This window comes from Homo sapiens, chromosome 7, assembly GCF_000001405.40.
Source record: "Homo sapiens chromosome 7, GRCh38.p14 Primary Assembly".
Lineage (NCBI taxonomy): Eukaryota > Metazoa > Chordata > Mammalia > Primates > Hominidae > Homo > Homo sapiens.
In genome coordinates, this window is record NC_000007.14 from 6,852,692 (window position 1) to 6,860,322 (window position 7,631).

The window sequence follows — 7,631 nt, forward strand, 5'->3', positions numbered from 1 at the left end:
TCCCAGCCGGGCGTGATGGCTCACGTCTGTAATCCCAGCACTTTGGGATGCCGAGGCAGGTGGATCACCTGAGGTCAGGAGTTTGAGACCAGCTTGGCCAACATGGTGAAACTTCGTCTCTACTAAAAATACAAAAAAATTAGCCTGGCTTGGTGGTGGGCGCCTGTAATCCCCGCTACTCGGGAGGCTGAGGTAGGAGAATCACTTGAACCCAGGAGACGGAAGCTGCAGTGAGCTGAGATCACGCCATTGCACTCCAGCTTGGGCAACAAGAGTGAAACTCCGTTGCAAAAAAAAAAAATAAATAAAGAAAAGAAAAAGAAAAATCCCCACAGTGCAGATCGACAAAATCACAGAGTTGCTTTGGGAGCGAGGGTGGCAATCAGACACGGAGGCCATGACACAGCCTACTCGTCCACTCAGGGGTCCAGAACCTCCACCCAGTCACCTTATCCGGGGGTGATGGAGACAGGGGAGGTGCCACCTACGCCAGTGTCATCTCTTACAATGAGCTCTTCTCCTGCTCGAAACGAGCCAGCCTGCTGAGCTTGCTGCCAGGGCCCGTCGCACTGCCTGCACTGTGTTTCCCGTCGCACAGCCTGTGATGTGTGTTTCCCGTCACACGGCCTGTGATATGTGTTTCCTATCATGTGTGCACGTGCATTGTCATGTAGTGTCTGTCACAGGTGTTACCCGTCACGTGTGTTTGCATGTTGCATGTGCGTGGCCTATCAGGTGTACATATGTGTTGTTTGGCACATGTCAGCATCTGGGCATTCTCCGTGTGCCAGGAGCAGCCAGGTGGCCTGTGAAACCTTCTCATGGGAAATGCCCAGATAGAAAGAGCACAGCCAGGAGCCAAGACCCTGAGTGGCCACTCCATGTGCCTGGATCACCTTCAAGTCTGCTCAACATCAGAGCCTCTGTTCCTTGGCACCATGGACATTGGAATTGACTCGGAACTGGGAAGAGCTGTAGGCCCACTATCCAGGTACCCGCTCCCCGTTTGCCCAGCATCCCAGGGGCCCACAACCTTCCAAATATCACCTTGCCCTCCATTCAGAGGTGAATCATCCGAGCGTCAGGTTGCCCAACTCCGACTGGTTTGCTGGAGGCTGCCTGTAGGATGTCGCCAGCCACCTCCAGAGAACACTCAGTCCACAGATGCCGAGGGGGAACTGGAAGCACACAGTGCTGGCCTTCACCCAGTTTACGGTGGCACCTCGGGACCGCTTCTGAGTCTGCTTGTCGCTGAAGGTCGGCATGAGGAAGGCAGCGTTCCCTCCCAGATTTAGAAAATGTCAAGTCTCCCGCCGCACCCTTTTGTGTTTCTTACAGGGTCTGGGGCGCTTGCAGCTGCCACACTAAGGGCTCCAACATGTTCCGTCACACACTCAACAGAGAAGGAACCTATGGCTCAGATGGGAGACTCCCTATCCAAGGCCACAGAGTCTGGCCCCAGGGACCACTAGAGGCTTCAAGAACCAAACTCACATGAGGGCAGAGAGGAGAGATGGGGCCAGTTTAGGGCTGGGAGAATCCATAGAGCGATGCTGAAGCGGGCATGGAGCCTGGAGGTACGGACGAGGGTCTCACCAAAGTCAGGGGTAGAGAGGCTGTGGGGAGTGAGGAATGGTGTGGGCCGGCCCCGGGCCTGCTGGGGTGCAGCTGGGGGCTCCATGGCCCTCCCACGGCCCCGACTTGTCCTCACCCAACCGTTCAGAGCTCTTCATGGCGGGGGTGTCCCTCTCCTCTGGCCACAAGAGGAGCGGGTGGAGGAACGGCACCTTCAGGCCTTGTAGGGGGTCTGCCCCTCCACCAGCCTGTTTCTCTTGGGCATCGCAGCTGAGGCTGTAGCCAGGAAAGGGTAGTAACCGAGCGTACCTGGCCTCCAACCACTACTTCCAAGGCCCCTACTGGGCACAGGGTGACCCCACCGTGGCTCGGAAGTGGACCCTGTCCGACGCGGGGGTGGTCGCTGGAGGGCCGAGGATGCCTACACAGGCCCCTGGAGGGTGTGCCTTCGGAGTCTGTCTCGCCCTCTGGACCCATGGGGGACCAGCAACGCCGTCACACCCTCCTCTGTCTCTGCCAGCCGCTCCCCCGCTCCCTTCTCCTGGCTGAGGCTGGCAAAGGCAGGCAGGCATGGGGGGGCGGGGCCTCAGGAGGGAGGAGGGGCTGGTGGGCGGGGCCTACGGACACCTCGCCCCGCCCCCAGTGGGGCTCCGCACTCCCCACACCCCGCGGTCCCCCTAGGTCAGGGCCTCTCACCACCGCGCCCAGAGGCCGGGCCAGCCGGGCGTGCATCCCAGGGGCGCTCCGTCCCCCGCGGCCTGGGACTCTCCAGTCAGGACAGTACAAAATCTCTTTATCGCTCATTTTCTGTAAAAAATCGTGGCTCTCGGCGGACCCTGGAGATAGGAGGTGCAAAGGGCGCTCACACGCGGCCCGGGTCCGCGGCCGAGAGCTGGGGGGATCTGGAGCGGGGCCGGGTCGCAAGAAGACCCTGACCCTGCTCCGGCGCTGGGGCGCGTGCTAAGGGCCCGCGGGGTATCAGCTGTATTTTCGAACCCCTGTGCTTGGCCGGGGAGTTCCCAAGGCTCCACTCCGCCTTGGAGGGGGCTGCGGAAGCCCGGAGGTGACCCGGGCTCTGGGAGGGGCGTCCCCAACGTGGGGGAAGGGAGACAGGGGCCTTCGAAGACAGCGCGAGACTCGGAGGGGGTCCCCCCGACCTAAGACGTGGTAAACTGAGGCCGGCGAGGAGCGAGGCTGAGTCCGGGGACCAGGCGGCCCCTCACTGCTCCTCCGGCCCGTCGCCCCCCTGCGCCTGTTCGTACGGGCAGGGCCGGCGGCCGAGTCCAGCGGGCTCGGGGCCAGGCCTGGGCCCCGGGGGCGGCGCCTCCTCCTCCGCGCCGTCCCCATGCTCGCCCTCCGCGTCGCTCTCGTCCGAGTTGTCCTCCTCCAAGTAGCCGTCACCGCGCACCTTGTGCTGGGGCCGCGGGATGCGGGGCTGGCGCGGGGCCACGCCCCGCCGCAGCTTCTGCTCCATCCGCAGGTAGGAGACCGCGGCCACCACCAGCGTCACCAGCAGCACCGCCAGCTTAGCCTGGGCGTAAGGAGAGGGATGCCAGGGACCCGCGGCCGCCTCGCCCCGCACCTTCTCCGCCTATACCCCTCGCTGAGATAGGCCCTTCCCTCCTCCGGGAGCCTCCCGGGCCACGCGGCCCTCAATTTCTCCAGCCCCTCCACCCACGTTTCCTGGACCGCCTCCTGCAGGCGAGGCTCACATCCAGCACTGTCCCTTACAGTCGCCATGCCCCTGGCGACCTCAGTGTCCCACGCTGTAAGGGGACAATGCAAATCCCTTTGCCTCTTAGGGTGCATGCGCCAGTGTTGATAAAGTGCTGGCCACAGGCCCTGCCTTCCCAGGGCTCACAACACTGTGTCCCTGACACACCCGTGGGCTGTAGTGATGCTTTTCATGGGGTTTTGACTATAACCCGCAGTCAGGAATGATTTCACACCATAGCTCAGTACACACACACATATCTGTATGCATACTTCCTGCTCTTTTCTTTTTTCCAGACACGGTTGCTCCGTTTCCCCACCGCGCCCCCTCCCTCCCTTCCCCCACCCACTGCTGGAGCGCAGTGCCATGCTCACTTCAGCCTCAATCTTCCAGGCTCAAGCCATCCTCCCACCTCAGTCTCACAAGCAGCTGGAACTACAGGCACGCGCCACCACGCCCAGCTAATTTTTAAATTTCTTGTAGAGACAGGGTCTCCTATGTTGCCCAGGCTGGTCTTGAACTTCTGGCCTCAAGCAATCCTCCTGCCTCAGCCTCCCAAAGTGTTGGGATTACAGGGGTGAGCCACCATGCCCAGCCCACTCACTGCTTTTCTTTTTTCTTTTTTTTTCTTTTTTCTTTGGGAGACAGAGTCTCGCTCTGTCCTCCAGGCTGAAGTGCGGTGGCGCGATCTTGGCTCACTGCAATCTCCATCTTCCAGGTTCAAGCCATTCTTGTGCCTCAGCCTCCAGAGTAGCTGGGATCACAGGGATGCGCCACCATGCCCAGCTAATTTTTGTTTTTAGTAGAGACAGGGTTTTACAGCCTGTTACCCAGGCTGGTCTCGAACTCCAGACCTCAGGTGATACCCCCACCTCAGCGTCTCAAAATGCTGGGATTACAGGCATGAGCCACTGCTCCCGGCCCACTCCCTAGTATTTTTAGTTCTATTTTTATTTTTATTTTTTTTTTTGAGACGCAGTTTCGCTCTTGTTGTTTAGGCTGGATGGAGTGCCAAGGCCCCGTCTCGGCTAACTGCAACATCCGCCTCCCAGTTCAAGCGATTCTCCTGCCTCAGCCTCCCGAGTAGCTGTGGTTAGAGGCACCTGCCATCATGCCCGGCTAATTTTTGTATTTTTAGTAGAGACGAGGTTTCACCATGTCGGTCAGGCTGGTCTCAAACTCCCTACCTCAGGCAATCCACTCGCCTCGGCCTCGCAAAGTGCTGGGATTACAGGCGTGAGCCACTGCACCCGGCCTTTAGTTCTATTTTTAAAAAATGTTTAGCAACTGGGACTTCCTAGACCGAGCCACCATCTTTTGGGAGCAGAACATGAGGAGCCTGCTCCCCTTCAGGCCATGAAGGGAGACAGACCCAACATCTGGAGAACAGGGTACCAAACAACCCACAGGATGGCTGTGATGCACCCACAAATCCCCTCAGAGATGGGCAAACTGAGACTGGCTGGAGGTGGGCCAGTAAGTGGGGTGCTGAGTTGGGGGCCACCCAGTGGGCTGCAGGAATGGGGCCTTGGCCCAGAGACTGGCTAGGGAAGGGGTGGCGTTTAGGAAGCTGTGAAGCCAGGGCAGGGGCTAAGGAAGTACCTGTCATTGGGCATGGGGCCCCCAACCCTGCCCAGTCTCACCTTCATGTGCAGGCTGGAGCCCAGGTACACGGTGAAGATGGCCACAGCCTGCCACCAGTGGTAGATGGTGAAGATGAAGTCCTGTCTCTCCTTGTCTTCGTACAAGATTCCCAGGAGTGCTGCAAGCAGGCAGTACAGGGCAGGCAGGGGAGAGGTGTCACCTGGGGCCTGGGGCTGCCGAGCTACCATCTATGAACTTTACTAAGCCCTGTATGTGTCCCAGCCCGGGACCAGAAAGCGCCTAGAAAGTGCTGTGAGCCGGTCCTGGCCTGCCCCCTGGTGGAGACCCTGGTCACCACACTGCTCACACGCTAAGCAGAAGTAGGAGCAGGTTCGCCAGGCTGTGTGGATGCAGGTGGTCCCGCTCCACACCACATGCGTGGCCTCAAAAGAAGAAAGCTCTGTGCTTAGTCATGTTCTGTCCCCAACCCCAGGTGTGCAGTGCCAAGCTTGCAGGCGCTGTTTCTCCTCCTCAGCCGGGACTAGAGAGATCCAACTGTTTGCAGCTGCCAACTCTGCAAATCAAACCTGAAGCTAAGCATGGAGAGGGGGGCTTCCTTTCCGGTGAGTCCTCCCAGGGTGGGCAACAAGAGTAATGGATTGGGAGTCAGAAGATGCACACTCGTTCTCAGGACTGTAACGTTGGTTCTGTGGGTGATTTGGGTACTTAACTCCCCAGAGCTGCTTTTCCCAATGGTGAGATGAGCCTATGCCTATAGTGTGCTGTGTTCTGAAGTTCTAAAGTGAGAAAGTGGGCATGGCACCTGCCAAATCATAGGGGCCACTATTAACACCTTCACCAGGCACTCAGGACATGAACACTCCTGTCTTGGGGCCCTGCAGGGTGACTTTACCCCCACAGTGCTGCTATGAAGAGACAAGGATCCCCCAGGGTTCACCTGTGGAGATGGGATATGGAGCTGGGCAGAGGGGATGCCATGACCAGACAGGGCACAACATGGGTCCAAGATACCCAGGTTGGACTCGGCCCAGAATTGGCTATCCTTGGGCAAAACGGCCAAGAGACTGTGGTGCAGTATGAGGCTCCAGCCCCTGCTACAGACAGAGACACCGAGCCAGCCTCTGCCCTGCCAGCAGCAGGCATGACCTCTGCCACTCCACACCCCCAAGGATGACGTTCAAAACTGTTCACAGCTTCCGCCCATCAGAACAGACACTGACATGGATGCCCCGCAGGACTGTGCCCGTGTGTGCTAGTTGTGTGTCACTGCGTGTGCCCATCTGTGGGCAGGGAGCATCCTGGAGCTGAACATGGGCCCACCCACTGCCTTCTGCAAACAGGGCCCTGTTCCCCACCAGCCCAGACCTGGGGCCTGGACTGTGGTACTGAGCAGACTGGGTTGGGGCTGCAGGCCTGCTCCTCTCTATACAAAGGCCCATGTCTGTATCTATGCCGTGGATGTACAACAGGCCACTTGCTCCTACCACATGCTCCGTGAGGCAGAGACCAAAACATCTGCTCCAAGTGTCACGAAAACAATGTCAGGGTAAGCCCTGTCCCCTGGTATGAAAAGGGAGAATCCCTGATGTGTTTTTCACACTGTCCGTAAGGGGTGTCCACAGAGCCCCACACCTGCCCCGTGTAGCCACGAGATTTCACACTGACCCTCCAGTGTTGATGGGGCCCTGTGCCCGCCCTGGGGTGTTAACGGAATGTCCATGGCGTGGAACCCCAACACCTGTCTCCAGAGTGTCCACGCCCTACCCATCTGTCCCAGTGTGTCCATGAGACTTCCCTTCCAGCCCCGGAGTGTCCACAGGAAGCCCCACCTGCCTCTGCCATGTCCACAGGACCCTATGTGACCATGGGACCCCATATCTGTCCCTGCGATGTCTATGTCTAGCCAACCACCCACAGATAGCCATAAAGCCACCTGCCCTGCCCCCCCCCAGTGCCCACAGCTATACTCACTGCTGAGTCCAGTCTTGTTCAGGGCGCTGCCCACACCCCAAAGGGCGGCTGCCACACAGAGGATCCAGCTGTGTTGCAGGACCTGAGGCACAGGGGCCCAGAAAAAGAGGATGAAGGTGAGCAGCAGGTGCACCCCTTCTCCAGCCACGAGGGGCACCGGGTGTGGCAGCCACAGGCCCAGCAGAACCAGGAGTGAGGCGGCTGAGGCGCCCAGGCTGTAAGCCACGAGGAGGTAAGCCAGCCACTCCAGCCCCACCGAGCACACACCATAACCCTGCGGGGGGACAAGGGGTGAGTGTTGAAGTCTGGAACAGCCCAGACCCCAGTCTCAGCCCTCCCTGCATCGCGGGGGGTGCCTCACCCCCCTGCGATGGGGGTCCTAAGAGCCAGGGGGGGAAGAGGGGCTGGCTCTTACTATTCCTGATGGAATAGTTTAGAGGGACTCATTCCCTGCTATCGTGGGTGAGATGTCTATGAAAAGGACAACCAGTGGGGGAGGGTAGCAAAATTTTGAATAAGATTTCTGAGACCCCCAGCACAACCAGGAACAGAAACTCCACACTCTGCTGAGCGGATAGTTTGCACATTGGTCTCCTCCCATCTGCCCATCTCACTCTCCTGTTTGTCCTGAGGAGGAGGAAACAAAACAAGGCTCCCGACCGTCCCTCAACACTCACTTGAAAGGGTGGCCCGTCCCTCCACACCTGTGGGTATTTCTAGTCGGGTGGGATGAGACACTGAGAAAAGAAATAAGACACAGAGACAA

General features: G+C 58.9%; 1 pseudogene; it reads right to left on the bottom strand.

The window, feature by feature from the left end:
- On the bottom strand, nucleotides 2,348-7,140 carry UNC93B2 (unc-93 homolog B2 (pseudogene); annotated as a pseudogene).